The sequence below is a fragment of the Homo sapiens genome, chromosome 11 (genome assembly GCF_000001405.40).
Source record: "Homo sapiens chromosome 11, GRCh38.p14 Primary Assembly".
In the NCBI taxonomy this organism is placed as follows: Eukaryota; Metazoa; Chordata; class Mammalia; order Primates; family Hominidae; genus Homo; species Homo sapiens.
This window is the reverse complement of record NC_000011.10, coordinates 89,684,102-89,709,120: the sequence shown is the minus strand read 5'-3', so window position 1 is coordinate 89,709,120 and position 25,019 is coordinate 89,684,102. Positions and strand designations below refer to the sequence as shown.

The 25,019-nt window shown below is 35.6% G+C and overlaps 2 pseudogenes across 1 annotated transcript in view; both read right to left on the bottom strand.

Annotated features, from left to right (window-relative positions):
• Nucleotides 7,796-8,357, bottom strand: UBTFL10 (UBTF like 10 (pseudogene); annotated as a pseudogene).
• The window catches only part of FOLH1B (folate hydrolase 1B (pseudogene)), a 39,451-nt pseudogene continuing 24,834 nt past the window's right edge, over nucleotides 10,403-25,019 (bottom strand). The window contains exons 9-14 of the transcript NR_175944.1: nucleotides 21,683-21,774; nucleotides 20,447-20,537; nucleotides 17,975-18,239; nucleotides 17,593-17,674; nucleotides 12,396-12,488; nucleotides 10,403-10,711 (exon numbers count right to left, since the gene is read on the bottom strand). The product of NR_175944.1 is annotated as a folate hydrolase 1B (pseudogene) (transcript). The remainder of the gene's footprint in view (nucleotides 10,712-12,395; nucleotides 12,489-17,592; nucleotides 17,675-17,974; nucleotides 18,240-20,446; nucleotides 20,538-21,682; nucleotides 21,775-25,019) is intronic.

Sequence of the window (25,019 nt, the reverse complement as noted above, 5' to 3'; positions counted from 1 at the left end):
ATATCATAAAACCTAGTAGAGTCTTATGGTTGCAGCTCAGAAATGGAGAAGGTTGAAAATACTATTGCCACCTCCCTGCAAGAAAAAAAGTCCGAGAGAAACTAAAGATTAATGAGGTTTAGTTTGTTTGTTTGCTTTGTAAACCATTAGAGAACAGAGGTAACAAGACAACTCAATCAGTTCTGGATAGAGACAGGTACAGCACTGAGAAAAACAGGACCCATGCATATGTTTATCTGGGGCAGATTCTACCAAAGGCCATAAAAACAGAAAATAAACCAAATGATTTTAATTTACTGCTAAAAATCAAAGCTGGGCTAGAGTGAGTGTGCAAAGACCCTTAGGGTCACAGACATAGAAGAATCCTCACCCAAAGGGAGACTTTTCCAACAGAAATGCCAAGAGGCTCTCACAGGGAAAACCAGGAAGAATCAAGAGAAATTTTCCCTTCTTGTGGTACTGGCCGGAAGAGAAAAATGGCAGCAAACACATGAAATCAACTGAAATATCCATCAATGATAGACCAGGTCAAGAAAATGTGGTACATATACACCATGGAATACTATGCAGCCATGAAAAGGAACGAGACAATGTCCTTCACAGGGACATGGGTGGAGTTGAAAGCCATTATCCTCAGCAAACTGCAGGATACAGAAGACCAAACACCACATGTTCTCACTTATAAGTGGAAGCTGAGTGATGAAAACACATGAATACATGGTGGGGGACAACACACACTGGGGTCTGTCAAGGGTAGGGGTTGGAAGGAGGGAAAGCATCAGGAAGAATAGCTAATAAATGCTGGGCTTAATGCCTCGGTGATGGGATGATCTGTGCAGCAAACCACCATGGCACACGTTTACCTATGTAACAAACCTGCACATCCTGCACATGTACTCCTGAACTTAAACGCTGAAGAAGAAAAAATACATTTTAAAACATCTTTTAATTCCTAGAAGCTTTGCTCACCATGCATTTTCCCCAAGCACTATATTAAACTGAAAGTGATTTCACACCAGATCTCTTTCTTCCAGTCTCTGCCTTTCTCAATACACATAAAAGCACCCTCTGCAGTGAATCTGATGATATTTTGTTTAATTTTCTTAATGTTTCTCCCACTGAAACACAACATTTAAAATAATTTATACCAACTATGTTAACGAATATTAACATAATAGTGACAAAGACTAGTTATGTATCATGTATTAAAATAATTTAATGTAATTTATTTTTATGTTATTTTTCATTTTGAAAGTTTTTTACAAGTAGCAAAAATACATGTGCACAGTTGAATTGGGAGAATAAAAGTAGACAGGTATCTGTATAGTAACCATAGGCTTTTGAATTAACAGTAACAAAACTTTTTAACATAAAAAGTCCAGAACCTGTTAAGGCACTCAGGAGGGGGGTCTCCAGGTGCAGAGAGTGGTTCTCATTCCAGTTCTATTCCTTCAAAAGATTTCTGGATAACCACTGCCACCATCAAGGTGGCCACAAATGGGGCTTTTCCACATTAATATGCTTGCTGAACTCAGCTTCAATTTATTCTGAAACATAGGAAAGAGATGCGACTGGACCTTTGGTTAAAGGCTTTATTAAAGGCTCCGTAAAAACTACGGAGAAAGAAAAGCAAACAGTAACCAGAAGTCAGGTAGCCTAGTTCATGAAGCTCACTTTTCTCACCTTACAGTTGGTGCTTCTCCTCAAGGAACCTACTTTGTCTTATCCTGCCTGCCCCACCACACAGAACTGATGCTTTGTAGCTGCCCGCACTGTCCAGATCCAGGAAGAGGAGGAGACGGGAGAGGGCTAAAGTCTTCATTACCAGCTGTGCTTTGTTTGCTCTCTGAGAAGGGATCGTTCTCAGATTAACAGCGAGGCTAATGAGTTAGCCTAGCTGGTGCATCAGTATCACCTGAAAAGCTTCTGAGGCCACAGATTGCTGGGGATTACCCATGGCTACTCTTCATTCAGTAGGTCTGGGGTGGGGCCAGAGACTTTGAGTGTTAGGCAACTTATAAGAGATTGCTGCTGGTCCCTGAACCATACTTTGTGAACCTCTGATTTAGCCCAATGTTCATAAAAGATGATATGTTTATGTTGTACAAGGATGGACAATTTAAAAAAATCTATTTGGAAAGCACGAAAATAGAAGTCCAGGATGTAAACCTGCCACTGTAGCTTCTTAAGAATGGTAGGAAATGCATCCCCTTTTGCCCATACAACCACAGCACCGTGGGAAGGCTACTGTGCAGGACTCTTGCTTTTCAGGGTCTAGGAGCTCAAGGAACAAGATATAGACCCAATGTGCAGGGTCCCAGGCAGCCCTAGTTTTAGACAGTTCCTTTCCTTACCCCAACCTTACAACCAGTAGGTGATCAGGAAATGGGCCCTTACTACAGAGGTTCACAATGTGTGGCTGTGATTATTTTTAGGGTTCATAAAGTCAAAACTATTTTTATAATAATAATACTATTTAGACATTAATTGCCCTTTGAAATTTTATTATCCCATGAGTATACAGGAGATTTTCCCAGGGGCTACATGACATGAAATATCACAAAAGATTGAATAGAGAAGCAGATGTGAGAATCCAGATGACTTCTACTAAGCCAGACATTAAAGTGATTTGTAAATATGTAATCAAAGCCACTCTTTTATTTATTTTTATGGTTTTGGAAAGTATACTTATTTTTATAGAAATATTACATTACCAGTTATTGTTTTATAATTGTTAAATTATTAATAAATAGATATTTGTTTTTCAGCTTTAATTTCTAATACAGCATATCTTGACATTAAAAAACCCACATCAACAAAAGCTTGTGGAGACTCTTAATTTCATCAGCTTAACTGAGGTATAATTTACATACCATAAAATTTACTTAATGTATAGAGTTTAAAGACGTTAATAAATTGCTGTTAAATTCATTTTATGCATGATCACCATATCCACTTTTAGAACACTTTAATTCTTTCAAAAACATCTCTTCTCCCCCTGCTTTTTTTTTTATACTTAAGTTCTAGGGTACATGTGCACAACATGCAGGTTTGTTACATATGTATACATGTGCCATGTTGGTGTGCTGCACCCGTTAACTCGTCATTTACATTAGGTATATCTCCTAATGCTATCCCTCCCCACTCCCCCTACCCCAGGACAGGCCCTGGTGTGTGATGCTCCCCACCCTGTGACCAAGTGTTCTCATTGTTCACTTCCCACCTATGAGTGAGAACATGTAGTGTTTGGTTTTCTGTCCTTGCGATAGTTTGCTCAGAATGATGGTTTCCAGCTTCATCCATGTCCCTACAAAGGACATGAACTCATCCTTTTTTATGGCTGCATAGTATTCAATGGTGCACACATATGTTTATTGTGGCACTCTTCTCCCCTTTTATAGTCAATCTCTACTCACATCCCTGTCTTCAAGGAACTGCTGCTCTGTTTCTTGTCTGTAAGATTTTTGTTTTTGTTGTTGCTATTTTTGTTGTTGCTTTCTAAAGAAGAGTCTTGCTTTGTTGCCCATGCTGGCATGCAGTGGCACTATCACAGCTCACTGTAGCCTCAACCTCCTGGGCGCAAGCAGTTTTCCCTCATCTTTCTGCATAGTTTGTACTTCAAGCAAACACCACCACACCCAGCTAGTTTTTAATTTCTTGTAGAGACAGGCACTCTGTTTCCCAAGCTGGTCTCACACTCTTGGGCTTAAGTGATCCTCTTGCCTTGGCCTCCCAAACTGCTGGGATTACAGGTGTGAGGCACCCCACCTGACCTGTCTATAGCGTTTTGACTTTTAATAAATATTACACATGTAATCATTCAATATATAATCCTTTGTGTCATTTAATATGTTTTTGAGATTCATCATGATTTTATGTATCTATGATTTGTTCTTTTTTTAACTTTTATATTTTATAATTTCAACTTTTATTTCAGATTCAGGGAGTAAATGTGCACGTTCTTTACATGGGTATATTGTGTGATGCTGAGGTTTGGGGTACGAATGATTCCATCACACAGATAGTGATCAATTTATGTATGTCTGAATCAGTGCCTGGAACTTTAAATAGACTCTTATAAATGTCTGTGGATTATATTATTTAAAACGAGCAGCCGTTAAAAATTCACTTTTACTGAAAACATTTCATGAAATAGCCCCTTTGATAAAATATTTCTAAATTGACCCTTACATTTTCTTACCTTTCCTTCTACAACCAACTCTACAGCCTTCCATCATGTCTACTCCATTTAATTGTTTAAGTCACCATCCACTTCAACGTTGTTACGTACAATACCCTATCTCTAACCTCCTTTTAATCACTCTCTTTTCAATAATACTATTGGTTACTTATTTCTTCTTGATTTCATTTTATTCTTATAACTTCATATTCTGAAAACACTCATTTTTATTAGATTCTCAGACAAAATTTATATTCATCTGACTTCCAGCCTACCTCAGAGAACACCCTTTAGCAGACTTTTTGGAAGTCTCCTTCTTCTCTGTTTCATATCCAACTATTAGACTGTCCAAGTGCTCAGTTTTGCTACCTTTCCCTCCTTGATTATGCTCAAAATTAGTGTCATATGGTGTGATGCTTTAATTAATATCTGATAATGTTACCCAAAGTTATGCTTCACTGATGTATTCATCTATTCAATATTTACTCACTAAATGTGAGTGCAAGGCATTGTTCTAGATTCTAAACTGTTCAGTAAAAATTATAGGGGCCCTTGTTTTGGACCAAGCTCCTGTGCTAGGCCCCAACAGAGCAGGCTAAAAACCAAAATGAAGTTTCCCATACTGAAGTTCTACATCACCAAACCAAAACTAAGTGTTGGTTGTTGGGTTGATTTCTGACTGTCCTATTAATAGAAATCAGAAGATAGAGATTATGTAAATTCCCAAATAGGGTAGTTTCAGTCGGCATGATATTGGGGTTCTCTCTGTTTTAATGTTTACCCCAAAAAGTAACCTGAAGTATTCTGATATTAACCAATCAGTTATTTTTCTGTACTCTTTCTCCCTGTCCCTGCCTTACAAGGAACATAACTTTAACTTTGAGATGATCAGCCAGTTTTCCGTTCATTGTTTTTGCTTTCTTCAGCTCTGTATATAAAACCAAGCTTTTCTCAGCTTATAAGAATACTTACTCTATTTTATGAAATACAGTGTTGCCAACTTCTGGAATCACAGATAAAGCCAATTAGGATCTTTAAATTAATGGTTGTCACTTTGGTTTTTTAACAGAACCAAACAAATGTAATATATATTATGGAGTAGTAAACTATTTTTTTGTTTTGTTTTGTTTTGAGACAGAGTCTCGCTCTGTCGCCCAGGCTAGAGTGCAGTGGCACAAGCTCCGCTCACTGCAAGCTCCGCCTCCCGGGTTCACGCCATTCTCCTGCCTCAGCCTCCTGAGTAGCTGGGACTACAGGCGCCCGCCACCAAGCCTGGCTAATTTTTTGTATTTTTAGTAGAGACGGGATTTCACCACGTTAGCCAAGATGGTCTCGATCTCCTGACCTGGTGATCTGCCCACCTCGGCCTCCCAAAGTGCCAGGATTACAGGCGTGAGCCCCTGCGCTCGGCCATGGAGTAGTAAACTAATATTTGGGCTCCAGATTCTTATATGCACTGGGATAGGTAATGGGCATTTCAAAAATTAGAACTCCCAACTTCCCTGACAAAACCTGCTTACCTTTTTCTAAATGTCAAAATAACTAGGAATGATCTGGATTTCTCTTGTACTTTTACTTTCCATTTCAGGAAATTATCTTGCTTTTACCTCCAAAATATGTGCAAATTGTCCAGTTTCCTTACTTTTTGTGTATTAAGTACCATTACTGAGCACATGAAATAATTTGCTGCCAAGAGAACTTTCTTCTATCTGTCTTCATTTGTCTCCCGTTCTCCCATGAAAGAATCCAATAGAGCAAAAGGCAGAGGAAAGAGGAATTCAACCTTTTTATTTTTCCCTGCCTTACTGGTAAGCTAAGACGTGTCATACCATCTCTTGCCATTGCACTAGGATTTACATTATTAGCTGCCCTGGATTTCAGGCCTTCAGATTCAGACTAAATTACACCATTAGCTTTTTCCAGAGCTTCTTGTTTAGAGATGATAGGATTGTAGAGCCAATTTCTCATTATAAAATCACATTCTCTCTCACACATACACATGCTCACACACACACATGCTCATTCACACACACACACACACACACACAGTCCCCTATTGCTGCTGTTTCTCTGGAGAATTTTGACAAATACCTTAAGGAAAATTTACATTGATACATAATAAAAGAGATTTGACAAAAATGAATACACATTACGGAATAAAACTGATTAATCCAAATCGGCATTTTATTAATATGTTATGATTTCAAATATTAGCATAATTGTTACAGTTGTAAGTGGTGTAACAATTAGCTTAAAAATTAGAAGCAATACAAAAACATATAACTGCTATTATTTAATATTGCTCTGTATTTTCTAAAAGAACACATAAATAAAAAGGGATTTGAAGTATTAAAAATATAAATATTGCCATTATTTTCTGGTACAGTTTACCTAGAACATCACTTATAATTTGCTAAGAAATCTAGGAACAAAAACACTAAAATCAATGGATATAAAATGGATGCCACTTCTTCTATGATGCAAACGTTAATGAGAACATGAAAACAGAGGAAAGTATGAGAGGGCAGTAGCCTTCAACTGACTTTAAAAGATAGCAGTAAACCAAAATAATTAAAGCTATGTGGTACTGGTGAATTCACAGGTGGACCAGGAGAACAGTATAGTGTGCATATCTACTCCTGTATCTTTCTAGGTATCCATGTATATTTCTGTATCTCCTGAATGATAAAAGTGAGATGGACTTGCACCTGAGGCAGCAGGAAGAATCTGGAGCTTCCACCCAGCAGAATAAATACAACAGACACCACTTGGAGAAGCAGTGCCCTGCCCAGTCACAAAACATTGATTCTATGGAGAAGTTTATTCAAGTGAAATAGATAAATTTCCATGTTTAATTTCATGTTTTTGAAATCAGTAAGAAGTCTCTTTGGGAGCTGAATCAGATATACATGTAAAAATATTGCCCCCTACATCATTCTGCCCACACTCAAGCATGGGAATGGCCAAGTCCTTACTTCAGGGAGTGGGGAGAGTGATGGCAGGAGTCTGGCAACGTTCTTAAGGCACCTGCCCTAACTCCCACCAGCTACTCTTCACTCTACATTCAGCACAGGAGTCCTGAGGGACACTTCACAAAGAAGGTGGAGATTACAGACTCAGTGTCCCCCTACCACCTCTTGCTGGCAGAAAATAAGGAAAGAAAAACTTGTTACTTCTGGAATACTCAGTCTAATACCCCATAGCCCAATCATCTCATTGTTTATTCCAAAAACCTCAATTCCATGAACTCTCTCTCTCTGGCTAGTTGTGTATATGGGTGGGGAGGCAATACTGGCTAATACTAATATTTGTTCTCTATGGTTGGTCCCCACTTCCTGGGTTTATGAACCTAATATAGAGAGTAGTGCACTGCATCAAGTTCCTTGTTTATAACCTGTCCCACTTTGTACAGAGGAGGAGGGGGAGAAAGGAGGGAAGGGAAAAGTCAAGGAAGTAAAAAGGAGCAGGAGGAGGGTCCCCTCCCTTTGACATAGATAACACAGATGGACTTTTGGCTTGGAAGGACTGTCCAACCTTTTAGGGTATTAACCAGGCTCAGGTTGAGCCTGAGTCAGAAGTACCCTGAGGAAGCTGAGCTAGAGCTGCTGCCCTCAGACTAGCCATCTTCATCTTCACTCCCACTGCTAGAGTCGGAGTAGTTACTACTTTCATCCTCTTTCCATCTTCCTTCTTGTTTTCCTAATCCCTATGAGTAATTATACTTGACCCAAATGGTTTCTAATGAATTTGTTCCTGGAGCCAGCAGCCTCTGCTCCTCTTCAAATTCTTCTTTCAGACTCCATTCTGATGGGATGGCAGATCTTTCTATCAAACCTGGTGTTTGGGCCTCCTGTGATGCTCGTGTTCTTGTGCTAATTAGAAGTTGACTGTCTATGCAGCATAATTTTTTTGAGACAGACAATTGAGCCAGAGATTCAGGTCTATCTTGCAGTATTTCAGCAACTCCTCAGCCTGGCTCTTATGTTCCTTAAGGCTCTGCAGAATATACTGATGGTATCTGCCAATCTCTGTCATGGTCTTACTCAATGGCACCTGTTGCAGCTTCCTACTCAATCATGAATCTTGATGATACTTTTGGAATCCATTCATGAGGGGCTTCTTGGGCTCTCCATGGAATTGTATCTTTATGGAAGAGTCATAGTTTTCTGGTTGAGATCTCAATTGCACAAATTTCTGAGGCCTTATTGATGCCCTTCTAATCCATCTAGGCCAGAATGCTTTCTGAAATGCAAATATGCTCGTATCCCTATCCTGCTTAACCTTATTACGGGTTTTTGATAAACTACAGGAAAGTACTTACACTCCTCTGGATGTCTTCTACGCCCTATGTGATGTATTTCGTGCTCAATGTATGGATTGTTCTTCCCACAAATCCCTTGGATTCTAGAAACACTGAGTTCTTTGTATTTCTTTAACATGCCACAATCTTCTGTACTTGTTTTTTATCTTGAATAACATGATTACTTTGCCAGTGGGAATACAAATAAATAAAATCACTTTGAAACAGCTTGGCATTGTAAAATTGAAGATGCACAAACTTTACAACACAGACATTCAACCTATAGGTAGATACTGTCTGGAAGGAGAATCTCTTGAATATTTGCATTAGGATACATGTTCACAGAAGCAAAATATAGAAAACATTCCAAATATACACCAGCAGAAAATGAATAAATACATTTTATTATTCACCAGTTATCCAAATTTGGGTTATCCACTCCAAACTCCCACTTGATTGTCTACATAAATAGATCTGGGCCCATTAAATAGATCTTCTTTGTCACGTGTTAATGATGTTAAACTTTGTGAGTAGAAGGCATTGGAGAGATGTTTCAAGAAGGTGCTTTTCAATCTGCTTTCTGTGTGCACCCTTGGCAAACTCTGGCAATGCAAATGACATCTCCAGCATCTGACACGGAGGGCATACAGAGCTACACCAGTGCCCAGATTCTGTAGTTCAGGCTGCTGCTATGGCACCCACTTCCTGAAGTTCATGGTGGCCAGGAGAACCCAGCGGCCAAGAGCTTCTCCTGAAACTGTCCTTTGCCAAATTTGTAGTAGAGCCCCTCTGGCTTGACATTTCTTCATAAACAGCTTTACACAGTGGCCCAGAAGACAAGTTTCTGGGGAGTTCTGAAGTGTCAATTTGAAGCAGATTCTCCAAGGGTAACACTACAGCGACTTCTTAACATTGAGCGAGGCCACAATGTGAGGGGACTCTTCATTGGCTGCTCCAAATTCACCATGGAGACGAGCAATTCCTTATATCTGCTCATCACATATTCTTGAGACTTCTCTTTACATATTACTAGACAATATTTCATTGTTCCAATGCTGTAACAATTAATAATTCTTTATATTAACTTTCCCTATTCACATTACTGTATGTTTTCTCTGTCTTGATGGACCCTGAATCCTACCCTCATGTGAATGAATGCTCTATATCAGCAAAATATGGCAAACTACATCCACAGTGATAATATATTTGAACCCTTAAAAGTCAATGAAAAAAATCAAGTCCCTGAAAATTACACATGGTATGATTGTCTTTATAAAAATTCAAAAATACATAATGCCAAAACATGTAAAGGATACAGCCATGTGTGATAAAATTATAAATAATGACAGAGGAAAGATAAATAAACATAAAATTCAAGAAAATGCAAAAGCGTAACTGTCATTAGTACATGGGGCATCCAAAGATATTAGAAATGTTATTTTCTTCATATGGCTATTAGGTTCACAAATGTTCATTTAATTACTATACATATAAGTTATACGATAGCCTTTTATATAAATAAAAAGAAATTAATTATTTCTTATGCTATAGAGTGATAACATTTACTAAAAGTGTCATTTGATCCATTTCCCAAATAGTGTGCTGAGATAGTGATCCTCTCAGCCCAGGGTGGCCAGGCAGGCCATGAGGCCTCTGGCTTGGGATAATCTTGTGCATATTCCCCAGTGTGCTCTCTGACATACTGATGTTTTCTTCTGTGTGAAGTGACATGAATAGATTAGACTTGATTCGCTGATAATGCCAGATGAGAGTTTTACTATATTAGGCCATTCTCCTTAGATTTAATACTGAGTTAAATGTTTCCACTTCAGAATAACCTCTTATAATTATGAAATTTATTTTTAATCCATAGGGAGAAGATAAACAATATAAACACACACATATATAAACACTCACATAACTATATATAATATTCAACTTTATTTCAAATATACCAATTTTAAAATTTATCAATATACCCATTATTATTCTTTGAGTGACATACCACACAAATTCAATACAGAGTCTCTAAAGAATCCTCTTAGGCTACTTCACTCAAAGTCTCTGCAGCTGCCTGCACTGTGAAGGCTGCAACAGAAATCTGTCTCTTCACATCTCCCCAGGCCTTGGAAGGGTCCACTTTGCTTTCAATATCAAACAGAGCATCATAAATTCCTGGGAATGACTCCCCTGCATACTTGTTGTGGCTGCTTGGAGCATAGATGACATGCCTGTTGATAAAATCGTTTGCTGTTTATTAGGTGCCCAAATGATATACAAGAGAAACCAGAGCACTCTGCAATTCCTGGATTGCATATTCCTATAACAATTTGAACAAGCCACTTGTCAACTGAACTTCCAAGTTCAATCATCTCTGAAGACTATTATATGAAATCTATAGTAATTAATTATATTTTATTTCAAACAAATAAATTAAAGTGGTTCAGTACTACAAAACTAACAATGATGATAGTAACCACAGCAATCATTCTTGGTATTTAGTGTTTACTTACAATTTTTCTGATGTTTAGAAATAAACTCTACACAGTTGATATTAGTATTTCACAGAGGAAGAAACTGAGGTCTGAAAGATAAAGTAACTAAATGATTTGTCTCAAGGCACATGACAAGTAACTGCTGATTTTTTAGTATATCATGCTACCCCCTACATTACAGCACAATTATGATCGTTACAGTCTTGTTTGTGATCAGTAAACCCTCTATTGTATTTTTTTGTCTTTTTTTAAAAAGTCACACTACCATGTTAGAATACTTAATATAGAGTTTGAAGAATCATCAAAAACAATTTCGTAATGTTCCACGTGACCAAGGCAGAAAATGTTTTATAGAATGGGCTAAGACAGTTCATGTAATAGCCCACAGAAGAGAAAGACAAACTCCAAAGTAAAGATGTAAATAAGGCCAGAAGCAGTAGCTCATGCCTGTAATCCCATATATTAGGGAGGCCAAAGTGGGAGGATTGCTTGAGGCCAGGAGTTCTAGACGAGCCTGGGCAACATAGGGACACCCTGTTGCTACAAACGAAAATACAAATATTAGCTGGGCATGGTGGCATGTGACTGTAGTCCTAGCTTCTTGGGAGGCTGCCGCAGGAAGATTGGTTGAGCCCAAAAGTCTGAGGCTGCAGTGAGCTACAATTGCACAACTGAACTCCAGCCTGGGAGACAGAATAGGACCCTATCTCTTAGAAAAAAAAAGGGGGTGGGGGATGGATAAAAATATGCCGCCATTGGTGATCTGATCGAGTCAACCTATTTGGAAGATGTTCTTACTCCCAAGCCCAACCCTTTGATAATCCCTAGAAAGAAAGTTAGGGCCATTTCTGGCTGTCCAGTGATCTGTCACATTCTGCAATATTTAGAAGATCAACCTCGGGACAGTCAATGTTTGACAGAAAAAATCCAACTGTCAGGATTTAGGAGGAAATAAAATATCTAAATATCAACATTAGGGAAAAGAATAAATAAATATATATTTATTATATACATTATATATAGAGAGATGTTTGGGTTGTGTGTATACATAAGTAAAAATATATTTAAGATAGAAAAGGAGCTAAAATTATACACACAAGAATATAACAATGATTTTATATTTTTCTGATAAAATTGGGGAGATTTTTATTTTCTGTCGTGGCTTTCTGGATCTTCTATATTTTCTAAAATAAATTTATATTCTTTTATAATCAGAACAAAGATATTCAAAATAAAGATATGCAAAAATCATATTACATTATATGAAGAAACAATACAACTATCACTTACTACATATATTTTGAAATTTTCTATTTGCTTGCAAGAAGTCAACTTCAATATTTTTTCCACAGTGAAAAAAATAAAAATAATTAGCAGAAAAAGTGATATTACAGAAGGGAGTCATATTTCCTTTTCTTACCTATAAAAAGGTCTGTCTGGTAACCCTAATGGATCAATAAATGCTCTTTCCAGAAACATGAGTTGATCATTCATCATTCTTAACAATATTGGGCTGAGAAAGAAAATGAATACAATTATAACTTCATGAAAATGTTTCTACCCAGAAAATAAAAATGTCAGAACAAAACTGAATTTAGTTATCTCCGGGGATTGGTTCCAGGACCACCCTCTACACCAAAATTTGTGCATACTCAAGTCCTGCAAGGAGGACGCATGTATATGAAAAGTCGGCCCTCCTCCTCTGTGGAATTTTTTTTTATTGTTATACTTTAAGTTCGAGGGTACATGTGCACAACGTGCAGGTTTGTTACATATATATACATGTGCCATGTTGGTGTGCTGCACCCGTTATCTCACTCATAGGTGGGAACTGAACAATGAGAACACTTGGACACAGGGTGGGGAACATCGCACACCGGGGCCTGTCGTGGGGTGGGGTGAGGGGGGAGGGATAGCATTAGGAGATATACCTAATGTAAATGACGAGTCCTCTGTGGAATTAACAGGGTGAAAATGAACAAACTACCAAACAAATTAAATAGATCTCTCGGTATAATGATCTAGATTTAAGTCTAAAAGTTACCTAAAATTATATCATTTCAAGTGATTTTCAGAATGGTTAAAATACAGCATTCTTGGAGCCTGATATGACTTTCTGGATTAACTTGGTCTGCCTCAATGAGGAAATGTAGCTGTGTATGTGGCATCTGAAGCCACATCTGATCTCCCTTGGGTTAGCTGCCCCCAGTATAACTCTTACCACATGCTTAATCCCCCTTTCACATCTTAGTCTTCATATTGTTAAGACAATGAGATAGGCAATTATATAAAATAGAAAATGTTTATGGAACACATGGCTAGTAGTCCAAATGGAATGTAACAGGTTTTTTTTTTAAGTTTCTATAATTCTCTTATTTTATATTTTTCATTAGTTTCTCATTAGCTACATCTGAGGTTCTCAGATTCAAGCTTGTAGAGTGAGCATCATTCTGTGATAAATGTTCTAATATATCAAAGCTAAAAGAAAGATGTTTGTTGAGATGTTTTCCACATAAATGAATTTACTCACTTAAAATACTTTTGTTCTAGATTTATGTCCATCCTACTTTTAGATGTTTTTAATGAAATCATTTTCTGCATGCAATGCTAATATTTTCAAATGTAAGCTTGAAAATAAAAGATTTAATTTGGCAAAATAAAAAGTTTTCCATATTTAAAAATAACAAGAATAGTCGGCCCTCCATACATATGGGTTTTAGTCCTTCAATACTGTATTTTATTTTGTTTTCTTAAGAGATTTTCTTGCTCTGTTGCCCAGCCTGGAGTGCAGTGGCTTAATCATAGCTCAGTATAGCCTCAAACACCTGAGCTCAAGCAATCCCTCTGCCTCAGCTTCCTGAGTACCTGGGATTACAGTGAATAATACTGAATTTTCCATCTGCGTTTGCTTGCTAATATGAAATCTATGGATAGAGAGGGCTCACTGTATTAATTGAAAAAAATTCATATGTAAGTGGACCTGTGCAGTTCAAATCACTGTTGTTCAAATGTCAATTGTAAATTTTAACATTCTGTAATATGCAAATTAAGAACAATAACATACATAGCTATGACATCTTTAAAATCTTATAAAATACTATACTGCTCAGGCTTATAAAAGCACAGAAACAGTTGTATGTGCAAATGGAAAAAATAACAGTGATTTTTATTTACATTGGCATAATTAACTGATCAACCCAGATATACAAATATAGGCAAGATTTTCTTCACCTTAGGTATCCTAGCAATCTACTCACTGAAGTAATATCAATATTAAAATAAGATGACTTGCTAATGTTTAGTAAGATGCCTGGCAAATTATAAATATTTACCAAGCGATAACTAACAATATTCCTTTTATTTTTAAAGCTAAACCTATTATGAACACAAGAGATGGTGATTACTTAAGTCTTTCAACAATATTTGGATACCTCCTATTTATCAAACACTCCCTGCTTTTACAGAACTTACATTCTAAAAGGAGTGTTGGGGTTGTTATTATAATAAGAATGTTTCAATATAATTGAAAGTTTATCAGCAAGCTCTGAATACTTCAACAATGAGTTACTGAATTTAATATACCAATTATTTCACAATTTAATTAACTGAGAAAAATCATTACAATAAGAAAGCATGAATCATCTTATTCATTAATTTACTTCTTGCTTTTCATAATTTGGTTTTACTAAAAGTTAGCATTTAGTGATCATTTCCTATATGCCAATTACTGTTCTGAATGTTTATACAAAATGTGATTTTTAATTTTCAGAGCAATTCTGCAAGTTGGGTAGGGTAACAGCCTCATTTTGTAGATGAGATAACAAAGGATCATGAGTTAAATAACTTGCCTAAATTCACACTAGGAAGTTTTAGAGTGAAATAGGAGATTGATATTGTTCTTTCGACTGCACCTTGCCAACAAAAGGAAAATAGGAACAACTTAAACTCCCATAATTTGGATTTGAGCTATTTTTAACATTTATGTATTTGGCATCATGAATTCAGATTCTGTGATATTATAAAGGTAAATGAAACACAGACTACCTGTTAGCAACTCCGATAAACAGTTGAGACAATTGAATGAAGGATAATTTCAATAAGATGCTATGGGTTTTGGAATCAAATTCACAAAGCATTGCTACAAGTACAAAAACTCATGTGGCTACACACATGTAAATGTGTGCGCGCGCGCACACACACACACACACGCACTTCTCTTTCTCTGTATCCTGTGTTAACGTCTTATATTCTTTGATGAGGCAAGAAGTGATACAAGAAAAGCAGGATAAAGACATATCTCTTCCTTAGATTTCAAAGTTTTGGTTGAGAAATTCAACATTCAGTTTAATTTACTTAGTCAGAATTTACTATTATTATGGGCAAAGCACTACTCAGGTGTTTCAGAATTTGTAAATATCATATAGGGAACAGAGTGGATCTTTACTATCACTTAGAGAAAATAAAAGAAATATAGAAATACTAAAGGAAGGGGAAGCTGAGTGTGCTAAACAATAAGTGTCCTAAACAAACCACAATTCAAACCATGAGGTATTTTGTCAGAGGGAGAAAACATTTTTTCTTTTAAATACAAAAAGAAAACCAGTTTTATAGAATACATGGTGTTTGGGATCTCCTTAAAATGTATTTCTTATTGTTGACTTTTTTACCCATATATAAAAATTATAAAGAATTGAAAAGAATAGGAAAACAATTCTTCCAATATTCCCTGAGGATAGCACAATTATTATAATAATTCATTAATTCCCTTTAAGTTTTTCCTGTATTTGTTAAATAAAAATTAATCAAATTATATTTACAATTTTACAACCTTCTTGCTTACTACATATTTTATTCTAAGTATCTTCTATTATGTTGTATTTCTAATAATCCATTGTAAGGATTATAAAATGTTCAAATTGGTGAATATCAAATTTTTTAGTAATTTCTCTTCTCTTAGGCATTAGGTTATTTTGAATTACTTGCTATTATAATTTTATACTTCAAGTCTTTCTCCAGGCAGCCTTTCTTTTCCAAAATTGAGACTTTTTCCTAAGAAATAATCCAAGAAATGGAAATACTATGTCAAAGCACAGGACTCTGTGACAGCTCTTGAACACATTAGCAATATGTATCTATCTTTTTCAAAAAGGCTAAAATAATTCATAATGCTATCAGAAAAGCATGGAGAGCATATGCTTCAGTGTACCAGCTACAGCATGGGCACAACCAAGGTTTAAATTGTTATTAATGTGTTATAAAAATAACATCACATTACTTTCATTTGTATTTCTGAATTATGCATTAGTGAACTGCAATATTTTGCTATGTTTCCTTACAGGTGTATATTGTCTTGTTTCTTACCAATATTTTCAGCTGGTTCTTTTGGACTGTTTAAATTAATTTTCAAAAAATATTTTTAGAATGTATATATTACTCTCCATTTTTGCTAGAAAATAAGTTTTCAACTTTCTTAATTTTTCTTGTGAATATTAATTTTCGTATTCTGAACCATTTCAAATGGTCTCAAGTCTGATTGCATCATTTCCCCATTGCTTCTAAACTTGGCATCTTTCAAGAAATTTCCATTTTTACTAAATAATTCTTTACACCTGTTGTTTATGTTAGCATACAATGTGAAGTGCGATTCTGAATTTACTTTTATAGCAGGTACTAACATAGTTTATATATTATTATGGTTGAGTAATCTTTCCCCATTAATTTTTGCTGTATCGTTTATTACTAATACTTCCTTATAGATCACTGAGCCTATTTCTACATCATCTACTGTAATGTTTTTATGTGTCCTTACATCAGCTCCTGGGGATTTGATATTTATATCATGATACTATATTTAATACACAGATCTGTGCCCTCAAAATTATACTTTAAAAAAATTACCTTAGTATTCTCACCAAGTATTTTTCCTTCCATCTTAAAATTTTGTTCAAATTGTGTTGTACTTGTGTAATCTTACACAGAATTAATCCTAAATGTTTAACATTTCCAAAATTAATGGCTTCACAATATTTGCTATTCTGGATAAACAGAATTTTGCCAGATGGAAGTGGAAATAAGGAGCTCTATGTGGAGGTAATGACAAAAACAAAAGAGGTAGAAAGAAATCATGCTTTGAAAAATAAATAGTCTGGCTGAGTTATGATGTACAGATACTGAAAAAGCAAGAAATAAAACTGGAAACAGCTGGGGTCACACAGTAGAGGACCTTCAATGTTAAGCAGAGTATTTTGTAACTGATCAAATGGCAGGAGGGAGGGACTGACATTTCTGAGCAGCACAATTGCCACTCAGAATGTTGAAAGTAGGTCTTTTGAGATACGGCAGCCCTACATAGGATGTGCTAGAGTGGAAAGACAGAAAACAGCAGGAAACGACACTTGTATACCTATGTAACAAACCTGCACGTTCTGCCCATGCATCCCGGAACTTAAAGTAAAACAAATTTAAAAAAAAGAAAACAGCAAGAAATTCCCAAAGCTAGTTCAGCAACAGTGATGTTAGTTTACTTTTAAATATATATATATATATATATATATATATATATATATATATATACACACACACACATATACACATATGTACATATATGTAGAACATACTTGCTTTTGTCAAAGTCCTGGAGTCTCTCGCTGAACTTGGAAGCAATTTCTGTAAAATTTTTTACTGCAGAAAAAAGTGAATCTGAAATAGAAATTGGGATCATCAAATGCTTAAAGAACATAATTTCTAATGGCATTGCTCTATAGTTCAAGAAAAGGAACAATACAGAAGCTATCATCTTTTGTGTTTTATAAGGTATTTATATTTTTATATTATAAGATGTGAGCATTCATAAAATGGAAAATACATTTATAGACATAAACAGAATATTGGATCACTTGAAATAGCAATAAATAATAAATGACCTAAGATAGTCCATTATATTTAGGAGATTAATAGAACCATACAGATGAGGAATTTGAAAAAGGAAGGGTAACATACCAAATGATAAACTGTATGTCTTCATTTCCTGTGGATGTTTCATAGAAATATTGTAGATTTTGTCAGCATACTTTCTTAAAACTACAGCATAATCTCGACAATCAAAAGGGAGCACTATGGAATTGGCTAGCTCAAACACCATCCCTCCTCGAACCTGGGCCACAGTGAGGTGATATTTAAACATTGGATCATAAAACTTTTCCACCAACTCATATGTTTCATAGACACTGTGATACAGTGGATAGCCGCTGAATTTGTTTGTTTCCTACAGAAAAAATAACAAAACATATCTCTTATAGGATAGCTTACAAAAAAATGATTAGCACCATATTTACTATTAGTATTAGTAAGATTGGCCAGTGATGGATCAAGGAAAGTACTTAAGCATCTCAATAAGCTACATCCTAAACGGGTAATATTATGATACGTAAACACACTCCAGGCTTGTATCAATTAAAATATGTGTATATGATATAACAAATATTATTTAAAAATTATTTGAAAGGGACCAAACTGGCTTGCCTCTAAGAATGCAGAAGATTGCATTCTTAGATTCATGTTTTAAGAATCTGAAAAAAAAGACAAGACATCTTGCATTTGGATAAAAATAAGAAGATGAATTGTTAAAGGCAAGTACATAAGTATTACACAATATTATATAGGAGAAGACACTAAATTGTTTAATCACTAAAATTCCATGGGTAAATGATTGTCTGACAAGTAGTGTGCTGAAGGCTGGAGAGTCTGAGTGGTGAGGGGTGCAGTAGTGGATCCAAAATCTCGCTAAGGAGAGAGAAGGGAGGCCCAGACAGGTGTCAGGAAAACCAAAAGTATAGGTAGAAGGAAGGACTTTTCAAACTGTGAATTGCTGGTTTATCACTTTTGATCATCTTAAGATGCTTATTTTTTATTATTAATATAAAAGGACATTTTATGTACTGATGTGTTGAAGAGACTGGGATTCTGTAATTACCCTGCCAGGGTTTGAATCTAGGCTTCAGGACTTACTACCAAAAACTTTAGGTGGTCATTTGACTTTTCTTTGTTGTAATTTTTTCGTAGTAAAATGTAGACAATATTAATATTTATCCTCACTATCACCTCCTACATAACTCTGCCTAACTTCCTACCTCACAAACAGGAGATTGAAGATTTTCCGTCTGGGAAGAACAGCCCATGAGGAAAGGCTTACAGAAACTTAATGTCAACTCTAAATCACCAAATGTCTTTTCTGTATTTGGAGTTGAGCTCGATCTCTTATTATTGCAATATTCTTATTGGAATAGTTTTGAATGAACTCTTCCTTGCCATTTTTATAACTGTGAGAATGATTTTTCTTTGTAACATAAAATTTAAAATTGAAGAAGTATCAGGATTAAAATATTACTTATAAATATGGATGTATCATAAAAGTTGACAAAGGTTTCATCTGATGAACAGAAATCAGGGGTGGTATGAATATGAAATGGAAATAAGAAACAACTGTTTTTAATTATAAACCAGTGTTCTTATAAAACTACTTGACATTTTATAAACTATGTACCCAATTTACTTTGAAGAAAATGAAAACCATATATATATATATGTAATCAACAACAAAAGAAAGGGAATCATGACTTTTACACGTACACAGTGTATTATACTGATATGATTTGACTCTGTGTCCCCACCCAAATCTCACCTTGAATTATGATAATCCCCACGTGTCATGGGAGAGACCTTGTAGGAGGTAATTGAATCATGGGGGACGAGTTTTCCTGCACTGCTCTCGTGATAGTGAATAAGTCTCATGTGAGCTGATGGTTTTATAAAGGGAAGTTCCCCTGCATATGCTCTCTTGCCTGCTGCCATGCAAGATGTAACTTTGCTCCTCATTCACCTTCAGCCGTGATTGTGAGGCCTCCCCAGCCATAGGAAACTGTGAGTCAATTAAACATATTTCCTTTGTAAATGACCCAGTCTCGGGTATGTCTTTATTAGGAGCAGGAAAACAGACTAATATATATAACATTTTTCATTTGTTTAATGACTTGTTATTTGTTTAATAATTGGAGATACAGTAAGAGATGGAAATCCAAATACACTCATTAATTTTGAATGACAATGGGGAGATACTGACTAATTTTGAATAAGGAGGAGGGTGAAATCAAAGACAATTCCTACATTTCCAACTTAAATGACTGAGTGAATGCAATGCCACCAAATGAAACAGAAAATATGTTTAAAGGAGTACACGGAAGTTCACATTTGCAGACATGAGTATTGATACCAACTGACACTTGAATTTAGGGTTGGAATACCAGATACAGGAGTTATCCTACGTAGTAGTGATACTGTCAACCATTGAGACTTCTCCCTCTGCTTTCAAATTTCTCTATTCCTCTAATGCTTGAGTCACTTTTTGGAGTCAGAATTATTTGTTTAGTTAAAACATATTCATAAATAATCTTGGATAATTTGAGATTCACTTACCCAATTTTTAGTATACCGTGCTCTGCCTGAAGCAATTCCAAGTCGTTGGAAGAACACCTCAAAATCATTTCCAGATCCCAATTTGCTTATCCTTTTAGAGATAAAACAACAGAATTATTTCAAAGTAATTTGTTCATTAAGCACAGATTACATGTCCATTAAAATAAACCCCATTCTTACTATTATAAATGTAATTTTAAACATACAGCTTTAGACATGCAGCAAAAACATAAAAAGAATATTAATTTTGATCACAAAATATCTCCTTCTATGAGACTATTTCGTGTAGGAATGACTATTTTATGCCACATTTTGTTAAAGGTTTCTGAAGTTGGAAAACATTTTCCTTAAGATTATTTCATTCCATTTATCATCTGTATTTGTTGTACATAATAGAGTGAAAAGCAAATATTTTTCAGATAATTTGGACATAAATTTTGCCCTTAATAATATAAATAGTGCTGTTGACATCGATAAACTCAGAGCACTGAGATATTTATTCTTCTTCCCTTGCTTGTGAAGATACAACCAATGTTGAAATGATGCTTGCATTTTTATTGCAATAAGCAAAATATTTGTTAACTATATGATATTCAGAAAAAGGATAATTACAAGGTGATGAGGTGGCAGAAAAATGAGGAAAATTACTTTTCATCATTATCTCTATCATGGGTTGAGTATCCCTAATCCAAAAATCCAAAATCTGTATCAAAACATTTCATGCACCCCAAAAATAAATACACCTACTACGTACTCATAAAAATTAAAGATTAGAACATTTTTAAAAATGCTGCAAAATCCAAAAGTTTTTAAGCACCTACATGACACTGAAAGGAAATGCTAACTGAAGCATTTCAGATTATGAATTTTCAGATTAGGGATGTTCAACCAGTAAGTATAATGCAAATATTCCAAAATCTTAAAATAATCCAAAGTCCAAAACACTTCTCATCCCACGCATTTCATATAAGAAATGACCAATCTTTATAATCTGTTGAAATGTTCCATATGTATATATTATATATTCTAAAGAGAAATCACGTTTTGATATCCTGCAGATTTAACTACAAAACACACAGTAATATTTTATTTGTGAACCAAAGTAATGCTTTTCCTTTATCAGATTTTAGACCATTTTGAAACTTAATTTTTCACTTAATGATTGAAAGAAAATATGCTTTTATTTTCAAAACGATCCCACACTGAATTTAGTGGAAACTTCATTCATTTATTTACCTGGGCATGCCACTGAACTCTGGGGAAGGACTTTTTTTAGTCCAACTTTCATAAAGAGATTTGCCTTCAAAGCCTTCATCAGGGCTTTTCAGCTACACAAATTAAAAGAAAAAAAGAGAATACTTACAAATCAGATATATTAAAAACTAGATGTCCATTAACGAGAAGTGAGTAACTAAGCCACAATTCAGCAAAAACAAGGGATGCTATCCATACATTAGCAGTCATCAAGAATTATAAGTTTCTGACAAGTGGGAAAATACTCATGTGGTTATATATAGGTGAACTATATTATAAAAATAAATGTATGAAGTGCATAGCATAAACAGGCTACACCAAATTCATACCAAGCCATTGTCTTTAGATGAATGGCATAGTGTATGATCTTTTTGTCTATTTTTCTGAATTAAAAGATACTACAATCAAAACTATTTCTCTTCTCACAACAAAGAAAATAAAAAGAAGCAAACTGGTTAAGGGGAAGGATTCAATTTAATATTGTTTCTTGCCAGTAGGGTTACCAAAGTCATTCAATAACATACAATAAACTGCAATGTCTGTTCTTGTACCAGTATCATGCTGTTTTGGTTACTGTAGCCTCATAGTATAGTTTGATGTCTCCAGCTTTGTTCTTTTTGCTTAGGATTGCCTTGGTTATATGGGCTCTTTTATGGATCCATATGAATTTTAAAACAGATTTTTCAAATTCTGTGAAGAATGCCAATAATAGTTTAATAGGAATAGCACTGAATCTATAAATTACTTTGGGCAATATGGCCATTTTAATGATATTGATTCTTCCTATGAGCATGGAATGTTTTTCCATTTGAATATGTCATCTCTGATTTCTTAGGGCAGTGGTTTGTAGTTCTCCTTGTAGAGATCTTTCACCTCCTGAGTTAGCTGTATTCATAGGTATTTTATTCATTTTGTGGTAATTGTGAATGAGTGTTAATTTGTGACTTGGCTCTTGGCTTGTCTGTTGTTGGTGTATAGGAATGCTAGCAATTTTTGCACATTGATTTTGTATCCTGAGACTGATAAAGTTGCTTATCAGCTTAAGGAGCTTTTGGGCTTTGACAATGGAATTTCCTAGATATAGAATCATGTCATCTGCAAACAGGGATAGTTTGACCTCCTCTCTTTTTATTTGAATGAGCTTTATTTTTTTTGTCTTGCCTGATTACTCTGGCCAGCACTTCCAATACTATGTTGAATAGGAGTGATTAGAGAAGAATCCTTATTTTGTGTCGGTTTTGAAAAGGACTGGTTATAGCTTTGGCCCATTCAGTACAATGTTGGCTGTGGGTTTGTCATATATGGCTCTTATTATTTTGAGGTTTGCTCCTTCAATACCTAGTTTATTGATAGCTTTTAACATGAAGAGATATTCAATGTTATTGAAAGCTTTTTTCTGCATTTATTGAGATAATCATGTGGTTTTTGTTTCTAGTTCTGCCTATGTGATTAACTGCATTTATTGATTTGCATATGTTGAATCAAACTTGCATCCCTGGGATGAAGCCTACTTGATTGTGGTGGATAAACTTTCTAATGTGCTGCTGGATTCTGTTTGCCAGTATTTTATTGAGGATTTTTGCATCATTGTTCATCATAGATACTGGCCTGAATTTTTGTTGCTGTTGTATCTCTGCCAAGTTTTGGTATTGGGATGATGCTGGACTCATAGAATTAGTTAGGGAGGAGTCTCTCCTCCTAATTATTTGGAAATAGTTTCAATAGAAATAGTACCAGCCCTTCTTTGTACCTCTGGTAGAATTAAGCTGTGAATCCATTTGGTCCTCGGCTTTTTTTTGGTTGGTAAGCTATTTATTACTGCCTCAGTTTCAGAACTTATGATTGGCCTGTTCAGGGATTCAATTTCTTTCTGGTTCAGCCTTCGGAAGGTGTATGTTTCCAGGAATTTATCCTTTTTTCTCTTTTTCCTTTTCTTTTTTTTTTTTTCTGTTTTTGTTTTGTTTTTTGATGAAGTCTTGCACTGTCGCCTGGGCTAGAGGGCAATTGTGCCATCTCTGCTCACTGCAACCTCGTTCACGCAATTATCCTGCTTCAGCCTCCCGAGTAGCTGGGATTACAGGCACCTGCCACCACACCCAGCTAATTTCCATTTCTTCTAGATTCTTTAGTTTATGTGCATAGAGGTGTTTACAATGTTCTCTGATGTTTGTATTTCTGTGGGGTCAGTGGGAATATTCCCCCTTATCATTTCTGACAGTGTTTATTTGAATCTTATCACTTTTCTTCTTTATTAGTCTAGCTAGCACTCTATTTTTTTTTTTTTCCAAAAAATCAGCTCCTGGATTCATTAATATTTTGAAGGGTTTTTCATGTCTCCAACACCTTCAGTTCAGCTGTGGTCTTGGTTATTTTGTGTCTTCTGCTAGCTTTGGGGTTTGTTTACTTTTGTTCTCTAGTATATTTAGTTTTGACACTAGGTTGTTAACTTGAGATCTTTCTAACTTTTTTTTTTTTTTTTTGAGACGGAGTCTCTCTCTGTTGTCCAGGCTGGAGTGCCGTGACGTGATCTCAGCTCACTGCAACCTCCACCTCCTGGGTTCAAGCGATTCTCCTGCCTCAGCCTCCCGAGTAGCTGGGACTACAGGCACCCGCCACCACATCTGGCTAATTTTTTGTAATTTTAGTAGAGATGGGGTTTCACTGTGTTTGCCAGGATGGTCTCAATCTCCTGACCTTGTGATCTGCCCTCCTCGGCCTCCCAAAGTGCTGGGATTACAGGAGTGAGCCACCACACCTGGCCAGATATTTCTAACTTTTAATGTGGGCATTTAGTGCTATAAATTTCCCTTTTAATTCTGCCTTAGCTGTGTCCCAGAGATTCTGGTGTGTCATATCTTTGTTCTCATTAGTTTCAAAGAACTTCTTGATTCCTGCTTTTATCTCATTATATACCCACAAGTCATTCAGGAGCAGGTTATTCAATTTCCATGGAATTGAATAGTTTTGAGTGAATTTCTTTCTCTTGATTTTGAATTTGCATGGCAGTACAAGAGACGTTTTTAATTTCATTTCTCTTGCTTTTGCTGAGGAGTGTTTTACTTCCAATTATGTGATCAATTTTAGAGTAAGTGCCATGAGCTGATGACAAGAATGTCTATTCTGTTGTTTCTGGGTGGAGAATTTTGTAGATATCTATCAGGTCCATTTGATCCAGTACTCAGTTTAGGCCATGAATATCTTTGTTATTTTATGTCTTGAAAATTAATTAATATTTTCAATAGGCTGTTAAAGTCTACCATTATTATTGTGTGGGAGTCTAAGTCTCTTTGAAGGTCTCTGAGAACTTGCCTTATGAATC